Source organism: Homo sapiens, chromosome 11, assembly GCF_000001405.40.
Source record: "Homo sapiens chromosome 11, GRCh38.p14 Primary Assembly".
NCBI lineage: Eukaryota > Metazoa > Chordata > Mammalia > Primates > Hominidae > Homo > Homo sapiens.
The window spans coordinates 50,727,162-50,745,369 of record NC_000011.10 but is presented as its reverse complement, the minus strand read 5'-3'; the positions used below and the strand labels follow the sequence as shown (position 1 = coordinate 50,745,369).

Genomic DNA, 18,208 nt, shown 5'->3' with positions numbered 1-18,208 from the left:
AGCACATCAAAAAGCTTATCCACCATGATCAAGTGGGCTTCATCCCCGGGATGCAAGGCTGGTTCAACATACACAAATCAGTAAAAGTAATCCAGTATTTAAACAGAACCAAAGAGAAAAACCACATGATTAGCTCAATAGATGCAATAAAGGCCTTTGACAAAATTCAACCACCCTTCATGCTAAAAACTCTCAATAAATAAGGTACTGATGGGATGTATCTCAAAATAATAAGAGCTATCTATGACAAACCCACAGCCAATATCATACTGAATGGGCAAAAACTGGAAGCATTCCCTTTGAAAACTGGCACAAGACAAGGAAGCCCTCTCTCACCATTCCTATTCAACATAGTGTTGGAAGTTCTGGCCAGGGCAATCAGGCAGGAGAAGGAAATAAAGGGTATTCAATTAGGAGAAGAGGAAGTCAAATTGTCCCTGTTTGCAGATGACATGATTGTATATCTAGAAAACCCCATTGTCTCAGCCCAAAATCTCCTTAAGCTGATAAGCAACTTCAGCAAAGTCTCAGGATACAAAATCAATGTACAAAAATCACAAGCATTCTTATACACCAACAACAGACAAACAGAAAACCAAATCATGAGTGAACTCCCCTTCACAATTGCGACAAAGGGAATAAAACACCTGGGAATGCAATTAACAAGGGACGTGAAGGACCTCTTCAAGGAGAACTACAAACCACTGCTCAATGAAATAAAAGCGGATATAAACAAATGGAAGAACATTCCATGCTCATGGGTAGGAAGAATCAATATCGTGAAAATGGCCAAGGTAATTTATGGATTCAGTGCCAACCCCATCCAGCTACCAATGACTTTCTTCACAGAATTGGAAAAAACTACTTTAAAGTTCATATGGAACCAAAAAGAGCCCACATCACCAAGTCAATCCTAAGCCAAAAGAACAAAGCTGGAGGCATCACACTACCTGACTTCAAACTATATTACAAAGCTACAGTAAGCAAAGCAGCATGGTACTGGTACCAAAACAGAGATATAGATCAATGGAAAAGAACAGAGCCCTCAGAAATGATGCTGCATATCTACAACTATCTGATCTTCGACAAACCTGAGAAAAACAAGCAATGGGGAATGGATTCCCTATTTAATAAATGGTGCTGGGAAAACTGGCTAGCCATATGTAGAAAGCTGAAACTGGATCCCTTCCTTACACCTTAAACAAAAATTAATTGGTTATTGATTAAAGACTTAAACGTTAGACCTAAAACCATAAAAACCCTAGAAGAAAACCTAGGCATTACCATTCAGTACATAGGCACGGGCAAGGACTTCATGTCTAAAACAACAAAAGCAATGACAACAAAAGCAAAAATTGACAAATGGGATCTAATTAAACTAAAGAGCTTCTGCACAGCAAAAGAAACTACCATCAGAGTAAACAGGCAACCTACAAAATGGGAGAAAATTTTTGCAACCTACTCATCTGACAAAGGGCTAATATCCAGAATCTACAATGAACTCAAACAAATTTACAAGGAAAAACAAACAACCCCATGAAAAAGTGGGTAAAGGACATGAACAGACACCTCTCAAAAGAAGACATTTATGAAGCCAAAAAACACATGGAAAAAGGCTCACCATCACTGGCCATCAGAGAAATGCAAATGAAATCCACAATGAGATAGCAGCTCACACCAGTTAGAATGGCAATCTTTAAAAAGTCAGGAAACAAAAAGTGCTGGAGAGGATGTGGAAAAATAGGATTACTTTTACACTGTTGGTGGGATTGTAAATTAGTTCAACCATTGTGAACGTCAGTGTGGCGATTTCTCAGGCATCTAGAACTTGAAATGCCATTTGACCCAGCCATCCCATTACTGGGTATATACCCAAATGACTATAAATCATACTGCTATAAAGTTACATGCACACTAATGTTTATAGCGGCACAATTCACAATAGCAAAGTCTTGGAACCAACCCAAATGTCTAACAATGATAGACTGGATTAAGAAAATGTGGCACATATAAACCATGGAATACTATGCAGCCATAAAGAATGATGAGTTCATGTCCTTTGTAGGAATATGGATGAAATTGGAAATCATCATTCTCAGTAAACTATCGCAAAATCAAAAAACCAAACACTGCATGTTCTCACTCATAGTTGAGAATTGAACAATGAGAACACATGGACACAGGAAGGGGAACATTACACTCTGGGGACTGTTGTGGGTTGGGCGGAGGGGGGAAGAATAGCATTAGGAGATAGACCTAAAGCTAAATGACAAGTTAATGGGTGCAGCACACCAGCATGGCATATGTATACATATGTAACTAACCTGCATATTGTACACATGCAACCTAAAATTTAAAGTGTAATAATAATAAATAAAAATAAAATAAAATAAAAAAAGGTAAACTGCTCAATCAAAAGAAAGGTTCAACTCTGTGAGATGAATGGACACATCACAAAGAAAATTCTCAGAATGCTTCTGTCTAGCATTTATGTGCAGATTTTTTTTTCAGCTACATTTCGTTTTCCACAATAGGCCTTAAAGCACATCAAATATCCATTTGCAGATACTACAAAAAGAGTGTTTCCAAACTGCTCAATCAAAAGAAGGGTTCAACTCCGTGTGTTGAGTGTACAAATCACAAAGTAGTTTCTGAGAATGCTTCTGTTTAGTTTTTTTGTGAAAATATTTCATTTTCCACCATAAGCCTCAAAGCGCTCCATATATCCACTTGCAGATTCTTCAAAAAGAGTGTTTCAAAACTGCTCAATCAAAAGAAAGATTCAACTCTGTGACATGAATTCACACATCACAAACAAGTTTCTCAGAATGCTTCTGTCTACTTTTTATGTGAAGTTATTTCCTTTTCCACCATAGGCCTCAAAGCGCTCCAAGTATCCACTCGCAGATTCTACAAAAAGTGTTTCAAAACTTCTCAGTGAAAACAAAGGTTCAACTGTGTGAGACAAACGCACACATCACAAAGGCATTTCTCAGAATGCTTCTGTCTAGTTTTTATGTGAAGATACTTCCTCTTCCACCATAGGCCCCAAAGTGCTCCAAATATCAAGTGCAGATACTACAAAAAGAGTGTTACCAAATGGCACAATAAAAAGAAAGTTTCAACTCTGTGAGATGAATGCCCGCATCTTAAAGAAGTTTCTGAGAATGCTTCTGTCTAGTTTCTATGTGAAGATATTTCCTTTCCCACCATAGGCATCCTGACGCTCCAAATATCCACTTGCAGATTCTACAAAAAGAGTGTTTCAAAACTGCTCAATCAAAAGAAAGATTCAGCTCTGTGAGTTGAATGTACACATCACAAAGAAGTTTCTGAGAATGCTTCTGTCTAGTTTTTATGTGAAGATATTTCCTTTTCCACCATATCCCTCAAGGCACTCTAAATATCCATTTGCAGATACTACAAAAAGAGTGTTTCCAAACTGCTTAATAAAAGAAAGATTCAACTCTGTGAGTTGAATGCACACATCACAAAGAAGTTTCTGAGAATGCTTCTGTCTAGTTTTTATGTGAAGATATTTCCTTTTGAACTATAGGCCTCAAAGCACTCCAAATATCCATGTGCAGATACTACAAAAGGAGTGTTTCAAAACTGCTCAATCAAAAGAATGGTTCAGGTCTGTGAGTTGAAAGCACACATCACAAAAAATTTTCTGAGAATGCTTCATTGTAGTTTTTATATGAAAATATTTCCTTTTCCACCATAGGCCTCAAAGCGCTCCAAATGTCCACTTGCAGATTCTACAAAAAGAGTGTTTCAAAACTGCTCAATCAAAAGAAAGATTCAACTCTGTAAGACGAATGCACACATCACAAAGAAGTTTCACAGAATGCTGCTGTATAATTTTTATGTGAAGATATTTCCTTTTCCACCATAGGACTAAAAGCACTCCAAATATCCATTTGCGGTTACTACAAAACAGTGTTTCCAAACTGCTCAATCAAGAGAAAGGTTCAACTCTGTGAGTTAAATGCACACATCTCAAAGAAGTTTCTGAGAATGCTTCTGTCTAGTTTTTATGTGAAGATATTTCCTTTTCCACCAGAGGCCTCAAAGCACTCCAAATATCCACTTGCAGATTCCACAAAAAGAGTGTTTCAAAACTGCTCAATCAAAAGAAATGTTCAACTCTGTCAGTTTAATGAACACATCACAAAGAAGTTTCTCTGAATGCTTCTGTCTAGTTTTTATGTGAAGATATTTTCTTTTCAGCAGCAGGCCTCAATGTGCTCCAATTATCCATTTGCACTTACTACAAAAAGAGTGTTTCCAAACTGCTCAATCAAAAGAAAGTTTCAACTCTGTGAGTTGAAGGCACAAAGAAGTTTCTGATAAACGTTCAGTCTAGTTTCTCTGTGAAGATATTACCTTTTCTACCACAGGCCTCAAAGCACTCAAAATATACACTTGCAAATCCTTCAAAAAGAGTATTTCAAAAATGCTCAATCCAACGAAAGTTTCAAATCTGTGAGATGAATGCACACATCATGAAGGAGCTACTGAGAATGCTTCTGTCTAGTTTTTATGTGAAGATATTTCCTTTTCCACCATAGGCCTCAAAGCACTCCAAATATCCATTTGCATATTCTACAAAAAGAGTGTTTCAAAGTGCTCAATCAAAAGTAAGGTTCAAATCTGTGAGATGAATGCTCATATCACAAAGTATTTCTTTGAATGCTTCTGTCTATTTTTTATAGGAAGATATTTCCTTTTCAGCTATAGACCTAGACCACAAAGTGCTCCAAATAACCATTTGCAGATACTACAAAAAGAGTGTTTCCAAACTACGCAATCAAAAGAAAAGTTCAACTCTGTGAGTTGAATGTATGTATCATTAAAAGTTTCTGAGAATGCTTCTGTCTAGTTTTTTGGTGAAGATATTACCTTTTTCACCATAGGTCTCAAAGCACTCCAAATATCCACTTGCAGATTCCACAAAAAGAGTGTTTCAAAACTGCTCAATCAAAAGAAAGGTTCAACTCTGTGAGACAAATGGGTACTTCACAAAGAAGTTTATCAGAATGCTTCTGTCTAGTTTTGATGTGAAGATATTTCCTTTTCAGCTATAGTCCTAAAAGTGCTCCAAATATGCATTTGTTGATTCTACAAAAAGAGTGTTTCCAAACTGCTCAATCAAAAGGAAGGTTCAACCCTGTGGGTTGAATGCCCACATCACAAAGTAGTTTCTGAGAATGCTTCCATCCAGTTTTATGTGAATATATTTCTTTTTCCACCATAGGCCTCAAATCACTGCAAATATCCACTTGCAGATTCTACAAAAAGGGTGTTTCAAAACTGCTCAATCAAAAGAAAGTTTCAACTCTGTGAGGTGAATTCACACATCACAAAGAAGTTTCTCTGAATGCTTCTGTCTAGTTTTTATGTGAAGATATTTTCTTTTCAGCTATAAGCCTCAAAGCGCTCAAATATCCATTTACAGTTAGTACAAAAAGACTCTTTCCAAACTGCTCAAACAAAAGAAATATTCAGCTCTGTGAGATGAATGCACACATCACGAAGATGTTTCTAAGAATGCTTCTGTCTAGTTTTTTTATGAAGATAATTTGTTTTCAGCTATAGGCCTGAAAGCACTCCAAATATCCATTGGCAGATACTATAAAAAGACTGTTTCCAAACTGCTCAATCAAATGAAAGGTTCAACTCTGTGAGTTGAATGCAAAAATCGCAAAGAAGTTTCTGAGAATTCTTCTGTCTAGTTTTTATGTGAAGATATTTCCTTTTCCACCATAGGCCTCAAAGCACTCCAAATATCCACTCTCAGATTCCACAAAAAGAATGTTTCAAAACTGCTCAATCAAAAGAAAGGTTCAACTCAGGGAGATGAACTAACACATCACAAAGAAATTTCTATGAATGCTTCTGTCTAGTTTTTATGTGAAGATATTTCCTTTTCAGCTGTAGGCCTCAAAGCGCTCCAAATATCCACTTGCAGTTACTACAAAAAGAGTGTTTCCAAACTGCTCAATCAAGAGAAAGGTTCAACTCTGTGAGTTAAATGCACACATCTCAAAGAAGTTTCTGAGAATGTTTCTGTCTAGTTTTTATGTGAAGATATTTCCTTTTCCACCAGAGGCCTCAAAGCACTCCAAATATCCACTTGCAGATTCCACAAAAAGAGTGTTTCAAAACTGCTCAATCAAAAGAAAGTTTCAACCCTGAGAGATGAATGCACACATCACAATGAAGTTTCTCTGAATGCTTCTGTCTAGTTTTTATATGAAGATATTTCCTTTTCAGCTATAGGCCTCAAAATGCTCCAAATATCCTTTTGCAGTTACTACAAAAAGAGTGTTTCCAAACTGCTCAATCAAAAGAAAGGTTCAACTCTGTGAATTGAATGCACACGCCACAAAGAAGTTTCTGAGAATGCTTCTGTCTAGTTTTTATGTGATGATATTTCCTTTTCCACCATAGGCCTCAAAGCGCTCAAAATATCCACTTGCAGAGTCTACAAAAGGAGTGTTTAAAAACTGCTCAATCAAAATAAAGGTTCAACTCTGTGGGATGACTGCACACATTACAAAGTAGTTTCTCAGAATGCTTCCTTCTAGTTTTTATGTGAAGATATTTCTTTTTCAACTGTAGGCCTAAAAGTGCTGAAAATATCCATTTTCAGAAACTACAAAAAACGTGTTTCCAAACTGCTCTATCAAAAGAAAGGTTCAACTCTGTGAGTTGAATTCCCAAATCACAAAGAAGCCTTTGAGAATGCATCTGTCTGGTTTTTATGTGAAGATATTTCCTTTTACACCATAGGCCACAAAGCGTGCCAAATATCCACTTGCAGATTCTACAAAACGAGTTTTTCAAAACTGCTCAATCAAAAGAAAGGTTCAACTCTGTGAGATGAATGCACACATCACAAAAATTTTCTCAGAATTCTTCTGTCTAGTTTTTATGTGAAGATATTTGCTTTTCAACTTCAACCCTCAAAGCGATCAAAATATCCATTTGCAGATATTACAAAAAGAGTGTCTCCAAAGGGCTCAATCACAAGAAAGGTTCAAATCTGTGTGTTGAATGCACACAATGGGAAGAGTTTTCTGACAATGTTTCTGTCTAGTTTTTATGTGAAGATATTCCCTTTTCAGCTAAAGGCCTCAAAGCGCTTCAAATTTACATTTGCAGATACTACAAAGAGTGTTACCAAACTGCTCAATCAAAAGAAAGGTACAACTCTGTTAGTTGAATGCATGCATCACAAAGAATTTTTTGAGACTGCTTCTGTCTAATTTTTGTGTGAAGTTGTTTCCTGTTCCACCTTAGGCTTCAAAGCGCTCCAAATATCCACTTGCAGATTCTGCAAAACGAATGTTTCAAAACTGCTCAATCAAAACAAGTGTTCAACTCTGTGAGACGAATGCACACATCACAAAGGAATTTCTCAGAATGCTTCTGTCTAGTTTTTATATGAAGAGAATTCCTTTTCCACCATAGGCCTCAAAGCGTTAAAATTATCCACTTGCAGATTCCACAAAAAAAGAGTTTCAAAACTGCTCAAACAAAAGAAAGGTTCAACTCTGTGAGATAAATGCACACTTCACAAAGAATTTTCTGAGAATGCTTCTGTCTAACATTTATGTGAAGATATTTCCTTTTCCATGATAGGCCTCAAACCACTGCAATTATCCACTTGCAGATTCCACAAAAAGAGTGTTTGAAAGCTGCGAAAACCAAAGAACGTTTCAACTCTGTGAGATGAATGCACACATTACAAAGAAGTTTCTCAGAATGCTTCTGTCTAGTTATTATGTGAAAACATTTACTTTTCAACTATAGGCCTCAAAGCGTTCCACATATCCATTTGCAGACATTACAAAAAGAGTGTATCCAAATTGCTCAATTAAAAGAAAGGTTCAACTCTGTGAGTTGAATTCACACATCACAAAGAAGTTTTCTGAGAATGCTTCTGTCTAGTTTTTATGTGAAGGTAGTTCCTTTTCCACCATAGTCTTCAAACCTCTCCAAATAACCACTTGCGGATTCTACAAAAACAGTGTTTCAAATCTGCTCAATCAAAAGAAAGGTTCAAATCTGTGAGATGAATGCACACAACACAAAGAAGTATCTTAGACTGCTTCTGTCTGGTGTTTATGTGAAGATATTTCCTTTTCAACTATAGGCCTCAAAGCACTCCTAATATCCACTTGCAGATTCTATTAAAACAGTGTTTTCAAACTACTCAATCCAAGGGAAGGTTCAACTCTGTGTGTTGAATGCACACATCACAAATTAATTTCTGAGAATGATTCTGTCTAATTTTTATGTAAAGATATTTCCTTTTCCACCATAGGACTCAAAGCGCTCCAAATATCCATATGCGGATTCTAAAAAAATAGTGTTTCAAAACTGCTCAATCAAAAGAAGGGTTCAACTCTGTGAGATGAATGCAGACATCACGAGGAAGTTTCTCAGAATACTTCTGTCTAGTGTTTATATGAAGATATTTCCTTTTCAACTATAGGCCTCAAAGCGCTTCTAATATCCATTTGCAGATACTACTAAAAGAGTGTTTCCAAACAACTTAGTTGAAAGAATAGCTCAGTTCTGTGAGTTGAATGCACACATTACAAATAATTTTCTGAGAATGATTCTGACTAGTTTTTATGTGATGATATTTCCTTTTCCAACATAGGCCTCAAAGCACTCCAATCATCCAGTTGCAGATTCCACAAAAAGAGAGTTTCAAAACTACTCAAAGAAAAGAAAGTTTCAACTCTGTGAGATGAATGCACACATCACAAAGAAGTTTCTCCGAATGCTTCTGTCTAGTTTTTATGTGAAGATATTTCCCTTTCAACTATAGGCCTCAAAGCGCTCCAAATATCTGTTTGCAGATGCTACAAAAAGAGTGTTTCCAAAGTGCTCAATCAAAAGAAAAGTTCAACTCTGTGAATTGAATGCACATATCACAAAGAAGTTCCTCAGAATGCTTCTGTCTAGTTTTTATTTGAAGATATTTCCTTTCCCACCATAGGCCTCAAAGCACTCCAAATATCCACTTGCAGCTTCTACAAAAACAGTGTTTCAAAACTGCTCAATCAATGACAGGCTCAACTCGGTGAGATGAATGCACACAAAACAAACAAGTGTCTGAGAATGCTTCTGTGTCGTTTTTATGTGAAGATATTTTCTTTTCAACTATACGCCTCAAAGTGAACAAAATATCCATTTGCAGATAGTACAAAAAGAGAGTTTCCAAATGGCTCAATCAAAAGAAAGATTCAACTCTGTGAAAGGAAAGCACACATCACAGAGAATTTTCTGAGAATGCTTCTATCTAGTTTTTATGTGAAGATATTTCCTTTTCCACCACAGGCCTCAAAGCACTCTAAATATCCATTTGCAGAGTCTACAAAAGGAGTGTTTAAAAACTGCTGAATCAAAAGAAAGGTTCAACTCTGAGGGATGAATGCACACATTACAAAGTAGTTTCTCAGAATGCTTCTGTCTAGTTTTTATGTGACGATATTTCCTTTTCAACTATAGGCCTAAAAGCATTCAAAATTCCATTTGCAGATACTACAAAAAGAGTGTTTCCAAATGGTTCAATCAAAAGAAAAGTTCAACTCTGTGAGTTGAATGCACACATCACGAAGAAGTCTCTGACAATGCTTCTGTCTAGTTTTTAAATGAAGATAATTCCTTTTGCAACACAGGCCTCAAAGTTTTACAAATATCCACTTGCAGATTCTATAAAAAGAGTGTTTCAAAACCGCTCTATCAAAAGAAAGGTTCAACTCTCTGAGTCGAATGCACACATCACATAGTAGTTTCTGAGAATGCTTCTGTCTAGTTTTTATGTGAAGATATTTCCTTTTCCACCATAGGCCTCAAAGCACTCCAAATATCCACTCTCAGATTCCACAAAAAGAATGTTTCAAAACTGCTCAATCAAAAGAAAGGTTCAACTCAGGGAGATGAACTAACACATCACAAAGAAATTTCTATGAATGCTTCTGTCTAGTTTTTATGTGAAGATATTTCCTTTTCAGCTGTAGGCCTCAAAGCGCTCCAAATATCCACTTGCAGTTACTACAAAAAGAGTGTTTCCAAACTGCTCAATCAAGAGAAAGGTTCAACTCTGTGAGTTAAATGCACACATCTCAAAGAAGTTTCTGAGAATGCTTCTGTATAGTTTTTATGTGAAGATATTTCCTTTTCCACAGTAGGCCTCAAAGCGCTGCAAATATCCACTGATAGCTTCTTCAAAAAGAGTGTTTCCAAACTGTTCAGTCAAAAGAAAGGTTCAACTCTGTGAGTTGAATGCACAGATCACAAAGAAGTTTCTGAGAATGCTTCTGTCTAGTTTTTATGTGAAGATATTTCCTTTTCTGACATAGGCCTCAAAGCACTCCAAATATCCACTTGCAGATTCTACAAAAAGAGTGTTTCAAAACTGTTCAGCAAAAGAAAGTTTCTACTCTGTGAGATGAATGCACACATCACAAAGAAGTTTCTCAGAATGCTTCTGTCCAGTTTTTTTGTGAAGATATTTCCTTTTCAGCTATAGGCCTCGAAGAACTCCAAATATCCATTTGCAGATACTACAGAAATAATGTTTCCAAACTGCTCAATCAAAAGAAAAGTTCAACTCTCTATGTTGAATGCACACATCACAAAGAAGTTTCTGAGAATGATTCTGTCTACTTTTTATGTGAAGATATCTCGCTTTCCACCAGTGGCCTCAAAGGGCTCCAAATATCCGCTTGCAGATTCTGCAACAAGAGTGTTTCAAAACTGGTCAATCAATAGAAAGTTTCAACTCTGTGAGATAAATGCGCACATCCCAAAGAAGTATCTCAGAATGCTTCTGTCTACTTTTTATGTGAAGATAATTCCATTTCAGCTGTAGGCCTCAAAGCGCTGAAATTATCCATTTGCAGATACTACAAAAGAGTGTTTCCAAACTGTTCAATCAGAAGAAAGTTTCAAATATGAGAGTTGAATGCACACATACCAAAGAAGTTTTTGAGAATTCTTCTGTATAGTTTCTATGTGAAGATATTTCCTTTTCCACCATAGGCCTTAAAGCGCTCCAAATATCCACTTGCAGATTCTTCAAAAAGAGAGTTTCAAAACTGCTTAATTAAAAGAAAGGTGCAACTCTACGAGATAAATGCATCTATCACTAAGACGTTTCTCAGAATGCTTCTGTCTAGTTTTATGTGAAGATACTTCCTTTTCAGCTATATGCCTCAAATCACTCCAAATATCCATTTGCAGATACAACAAAAAGAATGTTTCCAAACTGCTCAATCAAAAGAAAGTTTCAACACTGTGAGTTGAATGCACACATCACAAAGTAGTTTCTCAGAATGTTCTATCTAGTTTTTATGTGAAGATATTTACTTTTCCACCATAGGCTTCCAAGCAAACAAAATATCCACTTTCAGATTAAAAAAAAGAGTGATTCAAAACTGCTCAGTCGAAAGAAAGGTTCAACTCTATGAGAGGAATATGCACATCAAAAAGAAGTTTCTCAGAATGCTTTTATTTAGTTTTTATGTGAAGATATTTCTTTTTCCACCACAGGCCTGAAAGCACTCCAAATACCCTTTTGTAGATACTACAAAAAGACTGATTCCAAACTGCTCCATCAAAAGAAAGGTTCTTCTCCATGAGATGAATGCACACATCACTAAGTGTTTTCTGAGAATGCTTCTGTCTAGTTTTTATGTGAAGATATTTCCTTTTCCAACATAGGCTTCATAGAGCTCCAAATATCCTATTGCAGATTCCACCAAGAGAGTGTTTCAAAACTGCTCAATCAAAAGAAAGTTTCAACTCTGTGAGATGAATGCACACATCACAAAGAAGTTTCTCAGAATGCTTCTGTCTAGTTTTACGTGAGGATATTTCATTTTCAGCAAGAGGCCTCAAAGCGCTGCAAATATCCATTTGCAGACACTACAAAAAGAGTGTTTCCAAACTGGTCAATCAAAGGAAAGGTTCAATTCTTTGAATTGAATCCACTTGCAGATTGGAAAACAGAGTGTTTCAAAGCAGCTCAACTAAAAGAAATTTTCAGCTCTGTGAGATGAATGCAAACATCACAAAGAAGTTTCTCAGAATTCTTCTTTCCAGTTTTTATGTGAAGATATCTCCTTTTCAGCTGTAGGCCTCGAAATGCTCCAAATATCCACCTTCAGATTCTACAAAAAGAGTGTTTCCAAGCTGCTCAATGAAAAGAAATGTTCAACACTGTGAAGAGAATGCACACATTACAAACAAATTTCTCTGAGTGCTTCTCTCTAGTTTTTATGTGAAGACATTTTCTCCTCAGCTATAGGCCTGAAAGCGCTCTTATATCCATTTGCAGATACTAAAAAAGAGTGTTTCCAATCTGCTCAATCAAAAGAAAAGTTCAACACTGTCAGTTGAACACACACATCCCAAAGAAGTTTCTGAGAATGCTTCAGTCTAGTTTTTAGGTGAAGATATTTCCTTTTCCACCATAGACCTCAAAGCTGTCCAAATATCCACTTGCAGAAGATTCAAAAAGATTGTTTCAACACTGCTCAATCAAAAGAAACGTTCTAGTCTGTGAGGTGAATGCACACATCACAAAGAAATTTCTCTGAATGCTTCTGTCTAGTTTTTATGAGAAGATATTTCCTTTTCAGCTATGGGCCTCAAAGTGCTCCAAATATCCATTTGCGGATACTACAAAAAGTGTGTTTCCAACTGTTGAATCAAAAGAAAGGTTCAACACTTTGAGTGGAATTCACACATCCCAAAGAAGTTTCTGTGAATGCTTCTGTCCAGTTTTTATGAGAAGATATTTCCTTTTCTACCATAGGCCACAAAGCGCTCCAAAAATCCACTTGCAGATTCTACAAAAGGGGTGTTTCCAAACTGCTCAATCAAAAGAAAGGTTCAACACTGTGAGGTGAATGTACACATCACAAAGAAGTTTCTCAGAATGCTTGTTTCTAGTTTTTATGTGAATATATTTGCTTTTCCACCATAGGCCTCAAAGCGCTCCAAATATCCACTTGCAGATTCTACAAAAAGACTGTTTCAAAACTGCTCAATCAAAAGACACGTTAAACTCTGTGAGTGCAATATCTTCACATAAAAACTAGACAGAAGCATTCTCAGAAACTTCTTTGTGGTGTGTGCATTCAACTCTCAGAGCTTACCCTTTCTTTTGATTGAGCAGTTTGGAAACACTCTTTTTGTAGTAACTGCAAATGGATATATGGAGCTCTTTCAGGCCTGTAGCTGAAAAGGAAACATCCTCACATAAAAACTACACGGAAGCATTCTCAGAAACTTCTTTGTATTGTGTGGATTCACCTCACAGATTTGAACATTTATTTTCATTGAGAAGTTTTGAAACACTCTATTTGTAAATTCTGCAAGTGTATATTCAGAGCGCTTTGAGACCTATGGTGGAAAAGCAAATATCTTCACATAGCAACTAGACAAAAGGATTCTGAGAAACTTCTTTGTGATGTGTGCATTGAGGTCAGAGAGTTGAACCTTTCTTCTGATTGAGCAGCTTTGAAACACACTTTTCGTAGGATCTGCAAGTGGATATTTGGAGCACTTTGAGGCCTATGGTCAAGAGGCAAATATCTTCACATAAAAACTAGACAGAAGCATTCTCAGAAACTTCTTTATGATGTGTGTCTTCAACTTACAGAGATGAAACTTTCTTTTGATTTAGCAGTTTGGAAAAACTCTTTTTGTATAATCTGCAAGTGGATATTTGGAGTGCTTTGAGGCCAATGGTGGAAAAGGGAATATCTTCACATGAAAACTAGTCAGAAGCATTCTGAGAAACTTCTTTGGATGTGCCATTCATCTCACAGTGTTGAATCTATCTTTTGATTGAGCCGTTTTGAAACACTCTTTCTGTGGGATCTGCCAGTGGATATTTGGAACGCTTTATGGCCTATTGCCGAAAAGGAAATATCTAAACGTAGAAACTTGACAGAACCATTCTCAGAAACTTCCTTGTGATGTGTGCATTCAACTCAGAGAGTTGAACCTTTCCTTTGATTCAGCAGTTTGGAAACATTCTTTTTGTGGTGACTGCAATTGTATATTTGGAGTGCTTTGAGGCCTATAGCTGAAAAGGAAATATCTTCACATAAAAACTAGATAGAAGCATTCTGAGAAACTTCTTTGTGATATGTGCATTCATCTCACAGAGTTAAACCTTTCTTTTGATTGAGCAGTTTTGAAACACTTTTTTTGCAAAATCTGCAAGCGGATATTTGGAGCACTTTGAGGCCTGTTGTGAAAAAGGAAATATCTTCACATAAAAACTAGACAGAAGCATTCTCAGAAACTTCTTTGTGACGTGTGCATTCAACACTCAGAGTTGAACTTTTGTTTTGATTGAGCAGTTTGGAAAAACTATTTTGGAGTACTGCAAATGGATATTTGGAATTCTTTGTGGCCTAAAGCTGAAAAGGAAACATCTTCACATAAAAACTACACAGAAGAATTTTGAGAAACTTCTTTGTTATGTGTGCATTCATCTCACAGAGTTGAACCATTCTTTTGATTGAGGAGTTTTGAAACACTCTTTTTGTAGAATCTGAAAGTGGACATTAGGAGTGCTTTGAGTCCTATGGTGGAAAAGGAAATATCTTCACATAGAAACTAGACAGAAGTATTCTCAGAAACTCCTTTGTGATGTGTGCATTCAGTTCTCGTAGTTAAACCTTTCTTTTGATTGAGCAGTTTGGAAACACTCTTTTTGTAGTAACTGCAAATGGATATTTGGAACGCTTTGAGGCTTATAGCTGAAAAGGAAATATCTTTATGTAAGAACTAGAGAGAAGCATTCTGAGAAACTTCTTTGGGATGTGTACATTCATCTTACAGAGTTGAACCTTTCTTTTGATTGAGCAGTTTGGAAACACTCTTTATGTAGAATCTGCAAGTGGATATTCTGAGCGCTTTGAGGCCTACGGTGGAAAAGCAAATAACTTCACATAAAAACTAGACAGAAGCATTCTGTGGAACTTCTTTGTGAAGTGCGCATACATCTCACAGAGCTGAATCTTTCTTTTGATTGATCAGTTTGGAAAAACTGTTTTTGTAGTAACTGCAAATGGATATTTGGACCGCTTTGAGTCCTATGTTGAAAAGGAAATATTTTCACATAAAAACTAGACAGAAGCATTCTGAGAAACTTGTTTGTGATGTGTGCATTCACCTCACAGAGTTGAACCTTGCTTTTGATTGAGCAATTTTGAAACACTCTATTTGTAGAATCTGCAAGTGGATATTTGGATCACTTTGAGGCCTATTATGATGGAAAAGGAAATATCTTCACATAAAAACTACACAGAAGCTTTCTGAAAAATATCTTTGGATGTGCACATTCATCTCATTGGGTTAAAAGGTTCTTTTTATTGAGCAGTTTGGAAACACTCTTTTTGTAGAATCTGAAAGTGGATATTTGGAGTGCTTTGAGGCCTATGGTGGAAAAGGAAATATCTTCACATAAAAACTAGACAGAAGAATTCTCAGAAACTTCTTTGTGATGTGTGCATTCATCACTCAGAGTTGAACTTTTCTTTTGATTGAGCAGTTTGGAAACACTCTTTTTGTAGTAACTGCAAATGGATATTTTAAGTGCTTTGAGGCTTATAGCTAAAAAGGAAATATCTTCACATAAAAACTAGACAGAAGCATTCTGAGATACTTGAAATTTTCTTTTGATTGAACAGTTTTGAAACATTCTATTTGTAGAATCTGCAAGTGGGTATTTGGAGCGCTTTGTGGCCTATGGTGGAAGAGGAAATACCTTCACATAAAAACTAGACAGAAGCATTCTCAGAAACTGTTTTGTGATGTGTGCCTTCAATTCACAGAGTTGAATCTTTCTTTTGATTAAGCAGTTTGGAAACACTCTTTGTGTAATATCTGCAAAAGAATATTTGAAGCGCTTTCAGGCCCATAGCAGAAAAGGAAATATCTTCACATGGAAAGTAGATGGAAGCATTCTGAGAAACTTCTTTGTCTTGGTGAATTCGTCTCACAGAGTTGAATTTTTCTTTTGATTGAGCAATTTTCAAACACACTTTTTGTAGAATCTACCAGTAGATATTTGGAGAGCTTTGAGGCCTACAGTGGAAGAGGAAATATCTTCACATAAAAACTAGACAGAATCATTCCCAGAAACTTCTTTGGATGTGTGCCTTCAACTCACAGAGTTGAACCTTTCTTTTGAGTGAGCAGTTTGGAAACACTCTTTTTCTAGTATCTGTAAATGGATATTTGGAGTGCTTTGAGTCCTATAGCTGAAAAGGAAATATCTTCACATAAAAACTAGACAGAATCATTCTTAGAAACTTCTTTGTGATGTGTGCATTCATCTCACAGAGTTGAAACTTTCTTTTGATTGAGCAATTTTGATACAGTTTGCTGAATCTGCAAGTGGATATTTGGAGTGCTTTGAGGCCAATGGTGGAAAAGGAAATATCTTCACAAAAAAACTAGACAGAAGCATTCTGAGAAACTTCTTTGTGATGTGTGCATTCATCTCACAGTGTTGAACGTTTCTATTGATTCAGCAGTTTTGAAACAGTGTATTTGTAGAATCTGCAAGTGCATATTTGGAGGCCTGTGGTGGAAAAGGAAATATCTTCTCATGAAAACTAGACAGAAGCATTCACATAAAGTATTGAAATTATCTTTTCATTGAGTAGTTTGGAAACACTCTTTTTGTAGTACCTGCAAATGGATATTTGGAGTGCTTCGATGCCTATTGGTGGAAAAGGAAATATCTTCACATAAAAACTAGACAGAAGCATTCTCTGAAACTTCTTTGTGACGTGTGCATTCAACTCTCAGAGTTGAGCATTTCTTTTGATTGAGCAGTTTGGAAACACTCTTTTTGTAGTAACTGCAAATGGATATTTTGAGCGCTTTCAGGCCTATGGCTGAAAAGGAAATATCCTCATATAAAAACTAGACAGAAGCATTCTCAGAAACTTCTTTGTGAAGTGTGCCTTCATCTCACAGAGTTGAAACTTTCTTTTGATTGAGAAGTTTTGCAAACCTCTTTTTGTAGTATTTGCAGGTGGATATTTGGAGCACTTTGAAGCCTCTGGTGGAAAAGGAAATATCTTCACATAAAAACTAGACAGAAGAATTCTCAGAAAATACTTTGTGATGTTTGCATTCAACTGACAGATTTGAACCTTTCTTTTGATTGAGCAGTTTGGAAACACTCTTTCTGTAGAATCTGAGAGTGGATATTTGGAGCGATTTGAGGCCTACAGTGGAAAAGGAAATATCTTCAAGTAAAAACTAGACAGAAGCATTCTGAGAAACTTCTTTTTATGTGCGCATTCGACTCACAGAGTTGAACCTTTCTTTTGATTGAGCAGTTTTGAAACACTCCTTTTGTAGAATCTGCAAGTGGATATTTGGAGTGCTTTGAGGCCTATGTTGGAAAATAAATATCTTCACATAGAAACTAGACAGAAGCATTCTCAGAAACTTCTTTGTGATGTGTGCATTTAACTCTCAGAGTTGAGCCTTTGTTTTGATTGAGCAGTTTGGGGACACTCTTTTTGTAGTAACCGCAAGTGCATATTAGGAGCACTTTGAGTCCTATAGCTGAAAAGGAAGTACCTTCACATAAAAATTAGACCGAAGCATTCTGAGAAACTTCTTTGGGATGTGTGCATTCATCTCACAGAGTTGAACCATTCTTTTGATTGAGAAGTCCTGATACACTCTTTTTGTGGAATCTGCAAGTGGATATTGTGAGTGCTTTAAGGCCTATGGAGGAAAAGGAAATTTCTTCCCATAAAAACTAGACAGAAGCATTCTGAGAAAATACTTTGTGAAGTGTGCATTCATCTCACAGTGCTGAACCATTCTTTTGATTGAGAAGTTTTGAAACACTGTTTTTGTAGAATCTGTAAGTGGTTTTTTGGAGCACTTTGAGGCCTATTGTGGAAAAGGAAATATCTTCACATATAAACTAGACAGAAGCATTATCAGAAACATCTTTGTGATGTGTGCATTCAACTGACAGAGTTGAACCTTTCTTTTGATTGAGCAGTTTGGAAACACTCTTTTTGTAGCATCTGCAGGTGTATATTTGGAGGTCTTAGAGGCCTATGTTGTAAAAGGAAATATCTTCACATAAAAACTAGATGGAAGCATGCTCAGAAACTTTTTTGAT

General features: G+C 36.4%; 2 annotated features.

The window, feature by feature from the left end:
- Positions 16,231-16,787: an enhancer, noted in NCBI's record as "OCT4-NANOG hESC enhancer chr11:50687754-50688310 (GRCh37/hg19 assembly coordinates)". NCBI's record gives its function as "activates a minimal SCP1, AML or CMV promoter by ChIP-STARR-seq in naive H9 embryonic stem cells {active_cell/tissue: H9 hESC(naive)}" and the evidence as "EXISTENCE:reporter gene assay evidence [ECO:0000049][PMID:30033119]".
- Positions 17,034-17,774: an enhancer, noted in NCBI's record as "OCT4-NANOG hESC enhancer chr11:50686767-50687507 (GRCh37/hg19 assembly coordinates)". NCBI's record gives its function as "activates a minimal SCP1, AML or CMV promoter by ChIP-STARR-seq in naive H9 embryonic stem cells {active_cell/tissue: H9 hESC(naive)}" and the evidence as "EXISTENCE:reporter gene assay evidence [ECO:0000049][PMID:30033119]".